Here is an 18066-nt window from a genome sequence, read left to right as displayed (position 1 = left end):
TGGCAGCCCCTAGTGGGGGTGATTCAACATCCCTTCTTCTAGTGACATAAAAGAAGGTTAGGGTGTATAAATGACTCTAGCAAAGACAAGTTTAGATAGATACAGTTACAGTTGGTTCTGTGGTTTTCAAAAGTAGAGAGTAGCCATCTCTCTGGGCATTACGACCAGTGCTGGAAGCGAAGAGAGATGGTAATTAAACTGAGGTGCAGCTGAGGAAATTCCTGGCTCCTCATACACTTTCGTATATCATATCTAAGAAAGCTGGAAGGCTGAACTCTCTGCTGACAATGGTGGGGGAGGCAAGGGGGCTTTTGTTGAGGTTCCTGCTAGTATGGTGTCAGCAGATTGTATATTGACTTAATGTTTGATTTGTGTGTTTTCCAGTACATTCTCCTGAACTCCTTGACATAACTTTCCAGTAAAAGTGCTTGTCTAGTAAGTCAGATATTTCCAGGAGGGCTGGGAAAGTGGAACCATGCCACCTGGCATTATTTCATAAAATTAATTACCTGAACGAATTCATGAAAAATTGCAAATACAAGTGCTACAATATAGAGTTACTGGGCCATGCCATATTTCTTCTCTCTAACAATTACCTGTGTTATTTTCACTTAAGTGGGGCTTCATTATTTTACTCTCAGTGGTCATTGATTCTCCACTGGAAAAAAAAGATCTTCTGTGTTTGGTCTCCTGGGATTTGAAAAGACCTGACGATAAGACTAAATTGGAGCCTGACTCAGGAAACAAAGACGCTTCCCAGGCAATTGTTCATCTAATCTGGGGATATTCATTACCAGTCAATCAAGATTTGCCTGGAAAATTTCCCTTAATATGAGCTTTAGATAGAAAGACTAGCAGTCAGCACAGACTCAGAGTCCAGAGATCTAAACCTCACTCAAGGTTGCACAGTGGGCAGCTTTAAGCAAGCCCCTCACTTCTCTAAGCCTGTTTCCTCAGTTATAAAATGAATGTATTCATGTGATATCTCTGCATATCTGTCTTTTTTTTTTTCTGAGACGGAATTTCACTCTTGTTGTCCAGGCTGGAGTGCAATGGCATGATCTTGGCTCACTGCAACCTCTGCCTTCCAGGTTCAGGCGACTCTTCTGCCTCAGCTTCCCCAGTAGCTGGGATTACAGGCACCTGCCACAATGCCTGGCTAATTTTTTTGTATTTTTAGTAGAGATGGGGTTTCACCATATTGGCCAGGCTGGTCTTGAACTCCTGACCTCAGGTGATCCACCCTGCTCCTCGGCCTCCCAATGCACATCTCTTAACATTGGAGGGAATGTCAAAGTTGATGATATATTTAAAGCTCTTGGAAAACTGAAGGCACGGAACAAAACTAAGTCAGAGTTATTAAAAGGTGGAATCAAGCTTAGAACAGAGCTATCAGCAGCCATAATAAAATAATAGGGTTTATTCTGACAATCTATGTTTGTGGGCTTCTAAACAGATGTGTACATAAAGTAAGGCTTGTATTTGAGAAATAAAGGAGGCTAGATTTGAGTTTATTCAGTGAGTGTGTAAATGGAGCCTGCATCCTCGCCATCACCACCACCATGGTCATCACCGTCATCATCACTACCAACAAGTGAGCAACAACTATGTGTAGGCATGTGGCAGGACTCTTCCTTCCCTTCATGCTACCGTTCAGTTCTCTCAAAAACTCAGGAGGCTTCTCTGTTACTGTCCTCATTCAAGAAAGGAGGAATGAGAGGCTCCAAGAGGTTGCCAGTGGTTCCCGAAACGGGCTGTGCATCAAAATGACCAGGATTTTTTTTTTTTTTTAAAGTGCGGATGTTTGAGCCTTGACCAGCTACTGAACCAGGTAAATCCCAAGCAGCTGAAAATCCATGTCCAAGCTCCACAGATGATTTTACTGAGCAGACAGACTTGCAAATGACTGGGCTAAATAACTTCTCCAAGGTTACGCAGCTGGAAGCAAAGTTGAACTCTAACCAAGGTTGGCCACTGGACTCCCGTGTCAGCTCTTAACCACTTTTGTCTTGTTCGATTGGTGGTTAACAGTGTATTTAACAACAACTGTCTTTTATTGACTTTAATTAGTTTTTCCACATTCTACATCTACTGTTAAACTACACTGCAAGACTACTTTCCCCCAGTAACCATTTAGGTGTTTTATAATAAATGACTTAGCCCCCAAGGATCTTTTATAGTCTGGCCAACTGCTAGTTATATTTACCTATAGATGGAGAGTGTAACTATCCATGATGAAGGTTACAAAATGCGTGGGTATGACTATGGGAACTCATAACCAATGATCAAATGACATCTGTACATTGGTGAAGGGAGTTTTTAATGAGAGGCTGGGATCAATGGGCCCAGAGGTAGCTGTGAAAGCCTCTGCATGGCTTGGGCCATGGTATAAGCCAGGGTGTTCCCAACTTAAATGTCTGCATGAATTACCTGGAAATCTTATTAAAGTGCAGATATTGATTCAGCATTTCTGGAGTGGGCTCTGGAGTTTACTTTTTGGAGCTCCCAGGTGATGCTAAAGCTGCCAGTTCTTGGGTGTAAGTACACATGGCCCTAAGACAGCTATGAAGAGATCCACTCTCAGCAGAAGAACCACAAGCCCTGGGAGTGAGCATCAGACAACTCCTCACTGACACGGATACTGACTGGGGGCAGAAACCTGGGAAGGATGCTCAGAGGTGAGCTACTGAAAGACCCACGTAGCAGGGGAAGGCATTGCCCAGAGAAAAACCTATTATCTATCATGGAGTAAGGAAGGGTGATGAGTGTAAGTGAAACACTTATATGCTGAGTAGAGGGCTCGCAGGTGTATGGTTCTGATAGTGATGCACATTTGGAAATATTCTGTGTGTTAAGGGAGTGAATTCTAGACCAACATTGGTTGAATCAGCAGAAACAGGAGGAGGATACTGCTGGATGCTGAGATTCTTACAAGTCAAGCCAAGGACCCCGTGGAATGTACCCCCCCAGAGCACTGGGTCCAGCTTGGATGAATGACACTGCCTCTTGCGATTGCTGAATTTCTACACCTACCTGTCAGGTAATAGCATTCTACTCTGAACAGCCACATGGAAATAAATAAACAGTAACTGGAGCAAAATAACATGCGCTTCAGCTAATTCCATTTGGGGAAGAAAGAGTCTGAGAAGGACTTTGTGGGTGGAATTGTATAAGGGAGAAAAGAGGAAATAACCAGAGCATCGGCTGGGTTTTAATTAGGCAGGAGTGTAATGAACCCGTAACTCCAAAAGCATCTTAGCTATTTAGACCTGTGAATATAATAAGTAGAAAGAAACTAGATTTTGTGGCCAGGCATGGTGGCTCACGCCTGTAATCTCAGCACTTTGGGAGGCCAAGGTGGGCGGATCACCTGAGGTCAGGAGTTCGAGACCAGCCTGGCCAACATGGTGAAACCCCATCTCTATTAAAAATACAAAAATTAGCTGGGTGTGTTGGCAGGCACTGGTAATCCCAGCTACTCAGGAGGCTGAGGCTGAGGCTGGAGAATTGCTTGAACCTGGGAGGCGGAAGTTGCAGTGAGCCAAGGCCGCGCTATCGCACTCCAGTCTGGGTGATAGAGTGAGACTCCATCTCAAAAAAATAAAAGAAAAAAAGAAAGAAACTAGATTTTGTGCATCCACATTCAGTCCCCTGTCCCACTAGGCTAGGCAAAAGGAATCTGGGATTGCAGAAGGACAGGGCTCATTCTTCGACAGACAGCTTCTGTGACTTGGCCTGGGACTCTGATAGCTTGGCACCTTCACCACCCCTTGCAGCCCTCAAGGAGAGGCAAACCTCAATAAAATGACTGGGAGAGAAAGCCAGAGGAGGAAGCATCCACAGGGCCCATCCAGTAAGGGGGGTGGGGTCCCTGACACCAGAAGCATTGCTGCCCTGGGAGAAGTAACGAATGATTGTAGGGCCAGCAACAAAATAGGCTAAAACACAGCTGCCTTCAGAGGAGGTGAGCTAAGTAGGAGTTGTGAGGATCTGAAGGTCATATGCCCTCCGGCCTAACAGGGCCCTCCTCACTCAGCTCTGTGGCTAAGCAGAGGGTGGGCCCAGGACTGTAGGAGCTTTTGATTTTTTTCAAGAGAAGCTAAGATTCTGAATTTTTACATAAAATTGCCTGTTTTTATTTAAAAAATCATTAATAAAATCAAACCTAAAAAATCAAAAAGCACCGGCAGCCAAATAAAATAAACTTGCAAGGGAGCATGAGTTGGTGACCTCTGGGCTATTTTTTTACGCAAGTTCAGAGAGACAGCATGGGTTTTTAGATTGTACCCAGAGGCGGAAGTACAAGGCAGGGCAGGTACACACAGGACGTTCCTGGCGCTCTCTTCTCCACCTTCCTTCCCCTGTCCTCTCTTCTTAGCACTTCCTAGGGCTTTACATTGTGTTCTACACTTGTGTGGGTTCTTCATTTTCTGACACTCCTTCTCACAGCTAGAATAAAACCTCCAGGAGGCCAGAGACCTGTTTGCTAACAGCTGTATCTCTCATTTTTTGACTATATCTGGTACACAGTAGGCGCTCAATAAATAGTGGCCCAGTTGAAAAGGAATGACTGGTCCATGCTCCCATCTACAACATCCAAGCCAGGCTGAGTTGGTGTCACAGACCCCTCATTTCAGGGTCTGTCATCGAATTCAGAGTAGTTCATGAGGCTGCTGTGGACCAGAGTGACCCAGCATAATCCCTATCCAGAATTTTAAGACAAATACAATGCTACCAAATCCAGTTTTATTTTGTATTTCTGTGTGTGTGTGTATGTGTGTGTGCGCGTGTGTGTGTGTGTGTTTTGGTTAAAAAAAATCTGCAAGAGAGGAAGAAAAATACACATCCATCCGTGGCGTATATTCAGCTGTGATCATGAAAATACTGAGTTATTGTCTGAAATCGTGTAAAGCAAGAACCTGCATTAAGAAAGCATAGCTAAGCAAACAGGCCCGGGACCCATATCTGCTGACATACCGTGCTATCCTGAGACTGCCGCAGAACATTTGCAAAGCCGTGTTCTCTAAGAATTCTGCACAGTGCAAACAGGCATGAGGGGAAAAAATACTACTAGGGAACTTCTAGTTCTTGCTGAAAAGGAAAATTTTGAGCTCTAAATCTAGCACTACCAAGCAAGAGAGGCATCTGTGGCTGCATATAAAGCTGGTACTCCTTTGCTTGAACAAAATCCCTCAGTATACAGTACTTAAAATAAACAAAGCTCAAAACAGTCAGCTACACACGCATGTTTTTTGGCCACATGCTGCCTGAAGAAAATAGCTATGCAGTGTGCATGCCCTAGTTTAAACCAAGCCTGAATACCGCACAGTCTCATTCCTCTCCCGGTCTCCTTTTCTAGACAGAAATACATTTCCCTTTAATGTACAAGTGAGAAAAAAATATGTTTAAAAGACAGTCCAGGCCCTTGATAAAAGCACTTACTTTGAAAGAACAGGACAGACTACGTATTCAAAACAAGAGCGCCTTCTTAAAGTGCAGGCTCAGAAGTTGTTCAATGGCCAGGACCTTCATTTGTGCTGGCAGCTCTGGTCCTGCTGGGCATGGTTAAGGGCGAGGCTCGCAGCCCGCACGGCGTGGTCCTTCAGGGGTGCTGCGTCAGGCTGACGCTCCGGAACAGTTACTGGGACAGGCTGTGAGCGACTCACCAGGACAGTTTTATTTCTGTGCTGAGCTTGCTGCTTCCTGCTGGGAAAATGTTAGTGGCGGAGTCACACCCAGGTACCGGGCCGCAGCCAAGGCTCCGCAGATGACCCGAGTTCTGATGGAGGTGGGGACGGGCGGCGCCCGGCACCTAGGGGGCAGAGGGCGAGCAATCCCGGAAGAAGACTCACGCTAGGCGATTGGTCTCCTCACGGGAGCTCCTCGACCCTGCCAAGGGCATGACTCAGCTCACCCAGGGCAGTGCTGGACCACACTATTTATCCCCTAAGGTCCAGGAAAGCCGAGTTCAGGCAATGACTGGCGAAGAGCTAGAGGGGAGGCAGGGAGGCCCCTAAGTCACTGGGGTCTAGAGGTTGTGGCCTCACATGCACACAGATTCAGCCCCTTTCTCTTTGGTAGCTGTTGCAATAGAGTGGCCTAGGACTCCGACCCTGAAAACTATGAGGAGGGGGAGGGGAAACAGGAGGAGAACGGGGAGATGGGGGAAGAGGGACAGGAGAAGGAGGAGGAAAAGGAGGAGGAGGAGGAGGAGGAGGAGGAGGAAAAGGAGGAGGAGGAGGAGGAGGAGGGAGAGTAAAGCAGCCGGCCTTACAATGGAGGTTCCAAATCAATAAGTGTAGAGAATTAATGATGTCCTGATTTTCTGTTGGTGTCAGGATGACAAACTGCAGAGTTAGAAGAGAGGCTTCTCATGACTTTGTCAATTTATATCTGCACAACATTATAACCAAAAGCAAGCCGGAGATTAGTGGAAGTTTAGGGAAGCTGGCTGTGGTTCTACACCTCTGTCTCCTGATACGTTCTAGACCCAGGATGTGTCTAGATGAAGGATGTGGTGGGGCGGGGTATGGTGTAGGGAACCTCAGGATCGTTTTCAGTTTGGAAGATTTAAGCAAGAACATAAAAGTTCTGGAGCCACAGATTTTCTTTATTGTGTAGAGTATGGGGTGAAGGAGACTGATGTAACAATGCCCATTCTGTGTCAGGAGAGGGGTGTTGCTGTCAGGAGCCCTGGGGCTCCACCTCAGCCCTGCGATCTCTGGGTGATCTCTGATGACACACAACCTCTCTGGGCTCCTCTCTCTTTCTTCTTCTTTCTCTCCTCTCCTCACCTCTCCTCCTCTCCTTTGTCTTTCTCTTCCCTCCCTCTCTCCATTGTTTTCCCTCCCTCCCTCCCTTCCTTCCTTCCTCTCTCCCTCCCTCCCTTCTTGCTTGCTTTCTTCTTTCTCTCTTTCTTTCCTTCCTTCCTTCTTCCTTCCTTCTTTCCTTTCTCTTTTTCTTTCCTTCCCTCCTTTTTTCTCTCTCTTTTTTCCTCTTTCCCTTCCTCCCTCCTTCCTTCCTTCCTCTCTCCCTCCCTTTCTTGCTTGCTTTCTTCTTTCTTTCCTTCCTTCCTTCTTCCTTCCTTCTTACCTTTCTCTCTCTTTCTTTTCTTTCCTTCCCTCCTTCTTTTCTTTTTTTCTCTCTCTTTTTTCCTCTCTTTCCCTTCCTCCCTCCCTCCTTCCTTCCTTTCTTCCTTCCTTCTTCCCTCCCTCCCTCTCCCCTTCCTTCCTCCCTCCCTCCCTCCCTCTCCCCTTCCTTCCTCTCTCTCTCTCTTTCTTTCCTTCCATAGCATCTTGCTCTGTTGCCTAGGCTGGAGTGCAATGGCACGATTATAGCCCACTGCAGCCTCTAACTCCTGGGCTCAAGCAATTCTGCCTCAACCACCAGAGTAACTGTGACTGCAGGTGCACTGCCATGCCTGGCTAAAATTTTATTTTTATTAGAGATGGGGTCTCACCATGTTGCCCAGGCTTATATAGACTGGTCTCAAGCTATCCTCCCGCTATCCCCCTCCCAAAGTGCTGGATTACAGGCATGAGCCACTGTGCCTGGTCTGGGCTTCACTTTCGACATGAGAAGTTGTTATGATCCCTCAAATTTTAGTGCCCTATTCTTCCATGTCCTGCCATCTAGCACATGCCCTAAACAGAAGGAAATCAAATGAACCAAGTTTTCCTGCATATTTCTTCCATTGTCCTCCCTTCATTCCTCTACCTTAAGGCAGTAAATTCCACCAAAGGATCACACCTTGGCATTGTAGTCAAAACAGAGCTAAACTCTGAACAGCCCAGAGGAACTGATTTTCTAGTCTTTGGAGAGTATAGCAGACATGGAGCTGTGCTTCTCTTTTAAGAACAGATTCATTGCCTAGTTGTCAGGATGCTGTCAGCTGACAGCTTCCAGCCACCAACTCCTTCCACTCCACCTATGTATGGAGGGGTGCTCAGGCTCTCTTTAGGGTGCCTTGGCCTAACATTAAGCTAGTTGGGGATGCAGGGGTCTAGCCATTCCCACCCAACACTGGGTCTCTGAACAGGCAGTTTTTGCTCCTGAGAGTCCACTGGGCTGGCAGAGGCTCTGCCAGGCTGCAGCCCCCACACAATTCCACTTCCTCCCTTTCCCTGTCACAAACGTTAGTTCTCTCTTGCCCTCTCAGGGGACCTAACAGACACAGAGATGCCAGTCATTTGCAATGCATGTTTTGTTTTTTCTCCACAGAGGGCCTTTGATAGGCTTAGAAAGCCATCTTTGGGTGACAAGATACTTGTCTTTGTAGCATAAAGATCTTCAGCACAGATTTCTTTCTCATTCTCTTATTCACAGATGTGGAAAGGCTTAGTTCCCGTCAGGTCTAGCTAGTGTTTCTCAACCAGGAGTGCATACCAGAATTACCTAGAGACCTTTTCAGTGTGCAACTACACAGGCTTCACGTGCAGAGCTAGACTTGGTGGTTTGCGATGTACCCCTGGTTGAGAACCGGTGTTTATAGCATAAAATTCTTCCTTGTATGAGCCTCTCCCAGAGATAAGCATTCATCCTGCTAAGGATCATTCCAGAAGCTGAAAATACATTAAGTGGTCAATTAAATGATCCCTAGTTTATTTCCTTTCTTTTTTAGAGACAAGGTCTTGCTACGTCACGCAGGCTGGAATGCAGTGGTGCCATATTAGCTCACTGTAGCCTGGAACTCCTGGGCTCAAGCGATTCTCCCTGTTCAGCCTCCTCAGTAGCTGGGACTACAGGCACACACCATCATGCCCAGCTAATTTTTTTTTTTTTATTTTTCATAGAAATGGGATCTCCCTATGGCTCGGGCTGGTCTCATACTCGTGGCGTCAAGTGATCCTCCTGCCTTAGCCTCCAGAGCTTATTTCCAGATATTTTCATAAGTCCACCTAGTAGTGCTGCAGACTCATTTCAGAGCATGATGAATCTTCTTATAAAATATTAGGGGAAGGTGTAGGGAACTTTGAGATTATTTTTAATTTTGAAGATTTACATGAAAGCACAGAAGTTATGGGGCCATAGATTCCCTTTACTGAGTAAGGTGCGGGGTAAGGAGCTTTGCATTTAACTTCCAGGAAACCTGGAAATAAGGTTGCTGCATCCTGTCCTTTCAGGTTCCCTGTGTCATTGCAGGAGGCTGTACTGATGCTCATGTTTTGTTTCACAAGCTAAGTCCTTGACAGCATCAGCTGGGATCCCAGTCTTCTCTCTCATGTTACCCAGTGAGAACTCACTCACATAAATGTCAGGGGAGAATACTTGGCCTTCTGTTTCCTGGATCACTGAATAAAATCCCCTATGATGATCTGTGTGCGTATTTGGCTTTGCTGTTTGGTTCCAGGAGTTTTATTTCAAGGCAAAGCTTGTATCTGAAGATGCCATGAGCTGAGATTGTCTAGGACTGAGAAGCCCTAACTTCCCAAGGACACTAGTCCTGGAAAGAAGAAAGAGGCGGCATTCTTCCTGAATGTGAAATGCACTCAGAAGGAACTGCTTGGTATTTAAAAACTACTTCTCATTCTATCTTTAAAGCCAAAGAGAAAACACCGAAGTCCAAGGGGAATGCAAACAGACTGAGTGCTATGGAAACTTTCTCTTAGCAAAATTAACGCCTTCCCCAAGGGATGGCTGGAGGGTGGAGTAAGCTGAGTGAACTGGGGAAATCAAGGCTTTGCTGAGCTCTGAGTTGTGAAAATGGTACAGAGGAAGTGGCTCCTGAGCGCACACCAAGCTGGGATACTCAAGGAGATAAAGGGGAATTTAAGTGACTGTGCTGACACTGTTCCTGGATGTTTGGCAGCACAGGATTAAGTATTAATTTAATGCTTCCTTAATCCAACACATGCTATGCTCATTCTTTAAGTGCATTAGGCAGAACTTGTGAATTAAGAGAGCTGCCCTCTGCATGAGTAGGCAGCAGGGCCCTGTGGCAGAGGAGAAGCTGCCTCTGCATGTGAGCGTGGCCTCATCTTCCCGCCCGCTGACGCGTACCAAGGCACACACTGAACATCTCAGGGCGTCCCTCTCCTTCTTGCAGGGTTATTTCAAGGATTAGCTGAATATGCATGTGGATGTGCTTAATAAATTTGCAAAGTGCTATGCAAATGTGGGCTTTTATTTCCTTTTTAGAGAAAAGCCTCACATCAGGATTGGCTGAGTATTACCCGAGCAGCACAGGGCCCAGTGGATGGACTCCAGCTCAGACAGGCAGACCTCAGTGGGAATCAATGCTCCTCAGTTACCCACTGGGAGACTTCAGAGCAGCCACTCAACCCTCCATGACCCAGTTCCCTCGTACATCAAATGGGGACAATGATCATACCTACCTCTCAGGAGAGGAGCTCATGGGGAGCTCATTCGGCACAAACCATGATTCATGGTGCCCAGTAAATGTGAGCTGTGATGACTGTAAACCTGGGCTGTCACCAAAAGTAAAACCATGACACAGAGGAAGGAGGACCATTGGCAGGAAGTCTTGGGGAGCTGGTGGAAAGTACTTCCAGGGAAAGCAACCCTGCTGCAAGAGCCCATCCTAATGAGCCATCAGCCTCCCAGAGGATGGCCTGGCTCTGAGTCAGGAGGAGAAGCTGTTGCTCTTGTCTCAAGGCCTATTTCTGTCTGTCCATATCAACTGTACAGCAATTACCCATAGACAGCGGAGCTCTCAGCTGTAATTCTGGAAGTAGCATCATAGAATGTTTCCAGGTACAAATTCACTTGTAACAACTGTACGTTCACATCACACAAGGAGGACTCCACATGCAAAAACATCATCTCAAAATGGAGCACAGTCGAATTCTGGGGTGGATGCAGGTGGTGGGGAGGGAGGGTGATGGATCTCAAATGTCCAGCCACACTTGAGATAATTCCTGGGCTGGGCAACCGCAATGGCCCTAGGCTGAGGCACATTCCATTATGAGTGGAGTGGGTTTATAATGGAATGACATGGATGGTTTCTTATAATCAGAAAAGCACACTGACCTTCACACTACACAGGTGCAGCAGCATAATGACCCACCACGTGTACGCGCATCAATTCCTGGGGAAAAGTCCAACGAGGTTAACTTAGCGTGTATCCCAAGCAAACAAAATCAGCAACATTACCCACACAAACAACATTGTTTCCCCCACCCCCGCCAAGATACCTGGCCTGGGCAACCGACGTGCAAAAGGAAAAATCACACAAGGACCACACTCATTTTGATAAAGTGGATAAAAAGTTGCAAGCAACATTATTCTGTGCCATAAGTAATTTGATTTGATTTTAAATTTTAATTTAAGGAATGAGACTCATGAGCCTAGAATTTTTTTTTTTCTTTTTCAAGAAACAAGGATCTGGTGTGGGTGTTTGTGGGGAAAGAGAAGTTCTGCTCTCCCAGCCGTCTGAGAAGGCCAGCGAAAAGCATCCTCACATATGATCCACTCCTGAAGCTCCCTCAACCACAAAGGAAGGGGAATCTACAGTTAAACTGCTGAAAATTCACTGCCTGTTTCAGTGCCCTTACTCCCTCAGGCATTTACTCAGATGGGAAAGACTCAAGAAGTGCCATCCCCTTCCACTTGTTGTCCTGCGGAGTGACTGTCACCACAATAAACTTGGCATCACTGGTCTCACCATTGGCACTTTAGAGCTACCATGTCCAAAATTAGCATACAGGACTTGAGCAGAGATGCCAGGCATGGGACAGTTGCTGACGGCATCATCTGTCAGGGCCCTCTTAATCCAGGTATTGTTTTGGTTCATACGTCTTTATTCTGATTTTATAACCTCATCTTCCTTGGGAGTTACAGTCACCATGAAAATAATCAATGTGGCCTGATTCCAGAAAAAAGCAGTCTATGATGTCAGCATTCCCAAACCCCGATGAAACCTGAAGCTTTGCTGACAAATGAAGTCGTGTAAGAAACAAGTAGCAAGCTTGCATTCTGGGTGCAGAGATTATGTTCTCAACCCTGGTCCAAGCAGATCTGAATAGAAGACGGAGAGAATTCAACATCTACGTACTGAGATCCTGCTCTGTGTCCAACGCCCTGGTGGACGCTACTGGACTTCTCAGTGGTGACGCACACCGTGCAGCACCCTTGCTCCTTCCCGCTCCCTGCCACAGCCACTGGCTTCCTGGATGGTTCTCAGGCTGCCCCAGCTCTGCCCCATCTGCAGGCTCCCCTGCACTGCCTTCCTCCTTGGAGAAGGTCCAACTAGGAAAAGACGCAAGAAGGAACACACTAGGGCCATGTCCCTGCCTCTGGCCTTAGTTACCATGTGAACATCGCCAACTCTCCAATTTCTGTGATAGGTCAGAGCACTCATCTGATGTCCAGACCCAGTCCCCATCCACTGGAGCTTTGCGCAGCCACCCAAGCACCATGCAAGAAAAACTCAGGATCTTTATTCCTATGCCCAAGCTTCCCTTAAAAGTCTAGCCTTAGTCATGGTTCCTCTGCCGCTTAGAGCTCCCTGTCAGGAACTTGGACAGCTTTCTTTCTCCAGTCCTCTTTCTTCATCCTTTTTGTCCAACCAAGCACTGAGTTCGTCTGCTCCTACCTCCTAACGGTTCTAGAATTCATCTGCCTCTCACCATTTCTGCCTCCTCCAGCGTGGTCCAAACCTCCCTCTCCCACTCAACTCCCATGGAGCCTAACCGGCCTCCTCGTCTGCACCTTTGCTCTTAATACAGTCTCCATAATGGACAGAACACTTTATTGAAAAAGGAAACCTGATGTCGCCCTTCCTTGTTTTAGTGGCTTCACACTTCCTTTAGGCTAAAGCTCTAAATACCAGTTTGAGACTTACTTTATACAAACATGCAAAGTGGATCTGGTCCTCCCTCCTCCCTGACCTCACTGCTGCCTCCCTCCTCCTGACCTGTGACACTCTGGCCACTTGGGAATCCTACAGTCTCCAGAGGCACTTATTTACCCCTTCCTTGGAGATGTCAGTGTGCTGTCCCTGCTGCCTGACCTGAGCTGCCGTCAGCCCTTCTTCCTCCACACCCCCCACTCCTTGGCCTCCCCTGTGCTTCCCCTTCCCCCATGACAGAGGCCTGGGAATAGTACCCTGTAGTTATTATTTTTTGACAGTTTTAAAAATAATTCTAATGAACTGTTTATGTATATATTTGTTTAATGTCTATCTTGCAAAATTGACTCAGAATTCTCTGGGAGCTGGGGCTGCCATCCTCAGCACTTAGCACAGAGCCTGGTATAGGGTGTGCTCACTGTCCTAAGCCAAATATTGATCCAATTAATTAAACACACACACACACACACACACACACACACACACACACACACACATACATTAGGAGAGTAAAAAGAAGAGGAAAAAAGACCACTCAAATGGGCTGTTTAGACATTATCTATTTAGCACTTAGTACTGGGGATACCGGTGTATTTCACTTTACAGTTTACTGTAAATTATTTCTTTACAGTTTACTAATTGTTTAACTGCAAAGCTTGACTCTGGAAATAAAAAAAGAATGAGAGCAGAAGTGGAGACTTCATAAAGAAAGTGAATGGGGATCAAAAAGGATCCAGCTCCAGCTCCTGGAAGCTTACCCCACCCCACCAAAGAGAACCTGGATGGAACCCTCTTTCATCAGGAATAAACTGGAGCCCAAGGAAATGAAGGAATCAGATGGGGACCAAGTGACCTGTCCACACAAAAGCCATCTGATGAGTGCTTCTACTCCCTGCTCGCAGCCCACCTTCAGCTACACAGATCTGCACGGCCCCTTGCTTCTGCCATATGGGATCCAGCCTGACAGCAGCGAATGAGTGCACAGATTTCAAGTAGAGGAAATCCCCAGGAAATGGCAAGGGACAGTATTAGGAATCGACAAAGTACTACTTTAAAATAACCTTAGATTAGATGATTCTTCCTTCAAAGGCACAACTGGTTTACACACAGCTATACACAGCCAGTTCCTCTGTTGGACTCAAGTGGCCATGACCCTCAGGAAAATCCTCTAGGAGTGCTCGGCACAGGGCAGCAGGAAGTCACGTGGGGAGGGTCCCTCTGCAGACCCTTGTGGCACAGCAATAGGAGAGCAGGGCGGTGTTGGAGGCCCAGCCCTGCCTGAGGCCACTTCTTCATAGGTCCTGGCTGCCGCACCCTGCTTATGCCCTGCAAACCCCTGGCACCTCTCTAAAGCCCTGTGAATCAACCATCTGACACGGCCTGTCACTACTCATCAACGCTGACTGGCAGTGACACCACCTCTGAGGCCTGATGCTCTGCCACAGCTGCTAGGTCACCTGAGTAGAGTTAGGATTATTAAAAATCAAATGAACCAAGCAGGATGTTTCTCCTGGGCAAATATTTATCTGTCCCTACCCAAATGAACTAAGATTAAAAACCAAATATTAGAAAGCACGTTACCCTTCAGACCATACTGTGATTTATCATAGGCTAAAACAAATTGTTTCATTGTTTTGCTTCCCTCCTCTTTCATTCGGTCTGTCGTCTGATAAGTGGAGGATTTTTTGAGGAAGAGGTCAAGATCATTCATGGGTGGAATACATAAAAGCTAGCAATATAAAAGATGACATTTATTTATTTATTATTACTTTATTTGAGACGGAGTCTTGCTCTGTCGCCTAGGCTGGAGTGTAGTGGCCAGATCTCGGCTCACTGCAAGCTCCGCCTCCCGGGTTCACGCCATTCTCCTGCCTCAGCCTCCCGAGTAGCTAGGACTACAAGCGCCCACCACCATGCCTGGCTTTTTGTATTTTTAGTAGAGATGGGGTTTCACCGTGTCAGCCAGGATGGTCTCGATCTCCTGACCTCGTGATTCTCCCGCCTCGGCCTCCCAAAGTGCTGGGATTACAGGCGTGAGCCACCGTGCCTGGCAAAAGATGACATTTAAAAAAAACTTTTTTTCCTAATTATAGAAACAAAGTACATTTGCTTTTGAAAAGCCAAGCCATACGGACGACAAACAATATGATGAAAGGTCACTCAGAACCCCACCCTAGAAGAAAGCCAGAAGTCCTGGTTCGGGTAAGGTTCTCTTTTTTATGGGGTGGTTTGAGAGAGGCCCAGCCAGTGTGCCGCCTTCTGGGAGGGACATGTCCCTACAGGTCTGGGGCTGTAAGAGCGCATCACAGCTAAGAAGCCCTGGAGTGGCTGGTCCTCAAAGGGGGCTTGTGATATTTAAAAATAATTTACACTTATTTTAAGTGGGTGTATCTGACATCCCCAGAAATCTGGTCAGCTGGGGCAAGTGCCCCTCACAAAAGACTATCATTGTGACTGTCAATTATTTTAAGTTGTCCTAAGTATGGACAATTGGCATTTAGGATTTGTTGAGTTCCAGCAGGAGGTGCCAAGCTGTAGAGATATTTAAAGACATACAATTCCTATTTCAGTGACCCCAAACCCCTCAAGGAAATTTACGGCCCGCCTCTTCTATCTTTGCCCTCTAGGGCAAAGACCCTAGCACAGTGTGCGCCATCTAATAACTATTTGCCGACAGACCAACCAACCCGGTACATGAAGGAAGGGAAAGCCTGTGTGTGCATTCCCATATATGTGGTTAATTCCTGAAATGTCACACTAGACACCCTTGCAAAGACAAAGTAAGCTCAGTTGCACATATTTTGAAGGGGATTTTTAAAACTTGCTTCTTCTTAGAGACCAGAAAATTACATTTGCTAATTTAACAAAACTATTCTTTGTTGCAAGAGCCCAAGAGGTGGGATGAAGAGTTTCACTAGATCGTCTCCCTTTTGGCTGATGTCACAGCAAATATTCATCAGCCATCAGCCAGACTGGATAGCAGGCCAAAAACGTGGCCGTCTGGTCTCACGTTGGAAGTTCTGTTTTAAACTTTGTGACCTTGATTCCATCAGCATGAGTTGGGGTCTGACTGATTTTGTTTTGTCCCAATCTATTGTCTTTCAGTCCCTTGTTTTGATCCAACATCAATTTTCAGGAGATATAAAATTTACTGTTATATAACATTATGGTGTTATTGTCACTGAATTCATTTTCCTGGGAGGAGGTCTCTTTATGATCCAATACCTAATAGCATCATTTCCTGTCAGCAATGACTTACAATGCCTTCCAAATTCCCAGGCCCCTCCTCTATGACAGAAAAACCCTCTTACATTAGAGGGAAAAAAAAGGCTTTGACAAATAGTCCAGGCTTTACTTGAAGAGCATGAACTTAGTGGTATAGCCAGTGGGCTATTCCTTTTTAAAGATATTTATTTTACTCATATATTTTTCATTTTCATTCATTCATACATTTTTTCACTTCTCTAGCATATCCATACGGCGAAACAATGACACACAGGGAGAACATAAAGATGGCTTCACTTTAAACTTCCACGTTCCCTAACTTCCCATTTGACACTTTCTTCCCAAGCTGAGGGAGCCATCCTTGTTTGTAGATAGACTGGTCCAAAGATCCAGTTTGTCCCTAGAGGAACAGTTCTAACTCCATACCAGGCAACATAAATATGACCACCTGTGGGTGTGGCCACCTCCTCCCCAGGCCTTACTCCTCAGACTCCAATTTCTGAGCACCAGAGGGAAAAGTCACATGAGAAGTCAAGCTGGGTCCTGGAGCCAAGGTGGTAAGAACAGGGATGGGGACAGCTTCTGGACAGCACCCACTCTGGTGCCAGCATCATGGCCATGAGCTGGGACCCCTCCCCACCAGTGCCATCCCTCCCAATGCAGCGCTTTATTGCTGCTCAGCCCAGAGCTGTTTGCTTTCTTCCCTAACCTTCATGTTTCATCTGAGGCACATCTGTGGTGGGCAAACACACGTAATAGAACTCCATCCTTGAATAACTCCACAACAGAGCTGTCTTCTAAGAATAATAGCTAATCCTAGGGTGTTTTCATTAAAAACAGATTTCAGTGACAGACTATCAAAACATTTTCCTTTTACAAAAAGCAATATGATGGGGCAGAATTATGCAAAGGATACAGGCTTCACTCTGCCCTGAGCAACCAAGGGCCCTCTCCCATCGGCTTCAGTATCTCATTTAACTTTCCTGTCATGGATATGCAAGCAGACTAAGTCCTACTCAGCGCTTTTGCAGGCTCCAAGTGGGGGCGGCGGGGGGGAAAGACTGGTGAATTGCATTTCTGCCTCTATTTTCAAAATCTGTCACCAGTTATCCTTGAGGGGTGGTTTGCTTGTGTTCTTAGGGAGTTGGAGAGGTATTATCTAGCAAAGCAGGCTCAGAGTCACCCAACATGCATTGACTGTCTCCCACATAGCTGGCATTGTTTTGGGAGCTGCAGATACAATGGTAAATGCTCATCTTGCTTTACACATATTAACCCATTTGATCCTCACAATAATCTAGCGAGGCAGTTCCTATAACTGTCTACACTTTACAGAGGAGGAAACTGAGGCATGGAGAGTCACTGTAATATGCCCAATGTCATGCAAGTAGTAAGGAGCAGAAAAGCAGATTCAGAGCCAGGCACCTGGCTCCAGAGTGCCAATGCTCAGTGGTCCACTCTGCAAAGATTAGTGTGGTCCCTGCCCTTCAGGAGGGGAGACACACCGAACAGATGAGCTGAACACACAACAAGATGTTACAGCATTCCATTTAAGAGCCGAGGAGGGCTCCAGGCAGGTCTTCTCCAGTGATTTACATTTTATTTTGGTCAGAAATACCTTTAAGACACTGGCAGCAATGTCCCTTTTCCCCAGAACCTCTGAAGCCCCAGCTTCCATTAGGCAAACAGTCACACTTTACCTACCTACCTACCTACCTACCTACCTACCTACCTACCTACCTACCTACTTCCTTCCTTCCTTCCTTCTTTTTTTCTTTCTTCCCTCCCTCCCATCCCTGCTTCCTCCCTCCCTCCCTCCTTCTCCTCCCTAGTTTTCACTTTACCTTTATAGTCTCTTCTTTCTGAAATTAATCATTGGGTATAGTTAGTTTTTTTTTGGTTTCATTTACTATTGTGAAAGGAAAATAAATCTCGGGACCCCCAAATCACTAAGCCAAGGGAAAACTCAAGGTGGCAACTATGGCAGGCAAACCTGCTTCCCATTTTATTCCTAAATAAGGCAGCTACAAAGA

General features: G+C 46.2%; 1 protein-coding gene and 1 long non-coding RNA gene across 17 annotated transcripts in view; one reads left to right on the top strand and one right to left on the bottom strand.

The window, feature by feature from the left end:
• HECW1 (HECT, C2 and WW domain containing E3 ubiquitin protein ligase 1) overlaps positions 1-18066 on the bottom strand; it is a 453355-nt gene that overhangs the window by 311080 nt on the left and 124209 nt on the right. For 5 of the 16 annotated variants that reach the window (NM_015052.5, NM_001287059.2, XM_047420064.1 and 2 more), the window contains one exon: positions 10990-11047. The exons of 10 other annotated variants lie outside the window; for them this stretch is intronic. In NM_015052.5, coding sequence (NP_055867.3) covers positions 10990-11016 — 27 coding nt within the window. In that variant the 5' untranslated portion in view covers positions 11017-11047. Of the gene's footprint in view, positions 1-5442; positions 5791-10989; positions 11048-18066 lie in introns of those variants that run through there. One more of the 16 variants, XM_011515222.3, reaches the window with a different exon arrangement.
• Positions 5624-9313, top strand: LOC124901619 (uncharacterized). Its single transcript, XR_007060295.1, has 2 exons — positions 5624-5739; positions 9123-9313. It is a non-coding gene; the product is annotated as an uncharacterized LOC124901619 (long non-coding RNA).

This window comes from Homo sapiens, chromosome 7, assembly GCF_000001405.40.
Source record: "Homo sapiens chromosome 7, GRCh38.p14 Primary Assembly".
NCBI lineage: Eukaryota > Metazoa > Chordata > Mammalia > Primates > Hominidae > Homo > Homo sapiens.
Note: the sequence above shows the minus strand (reverse complement) of the source record. Positions and strands in the feature narration are given on the sequence as shown.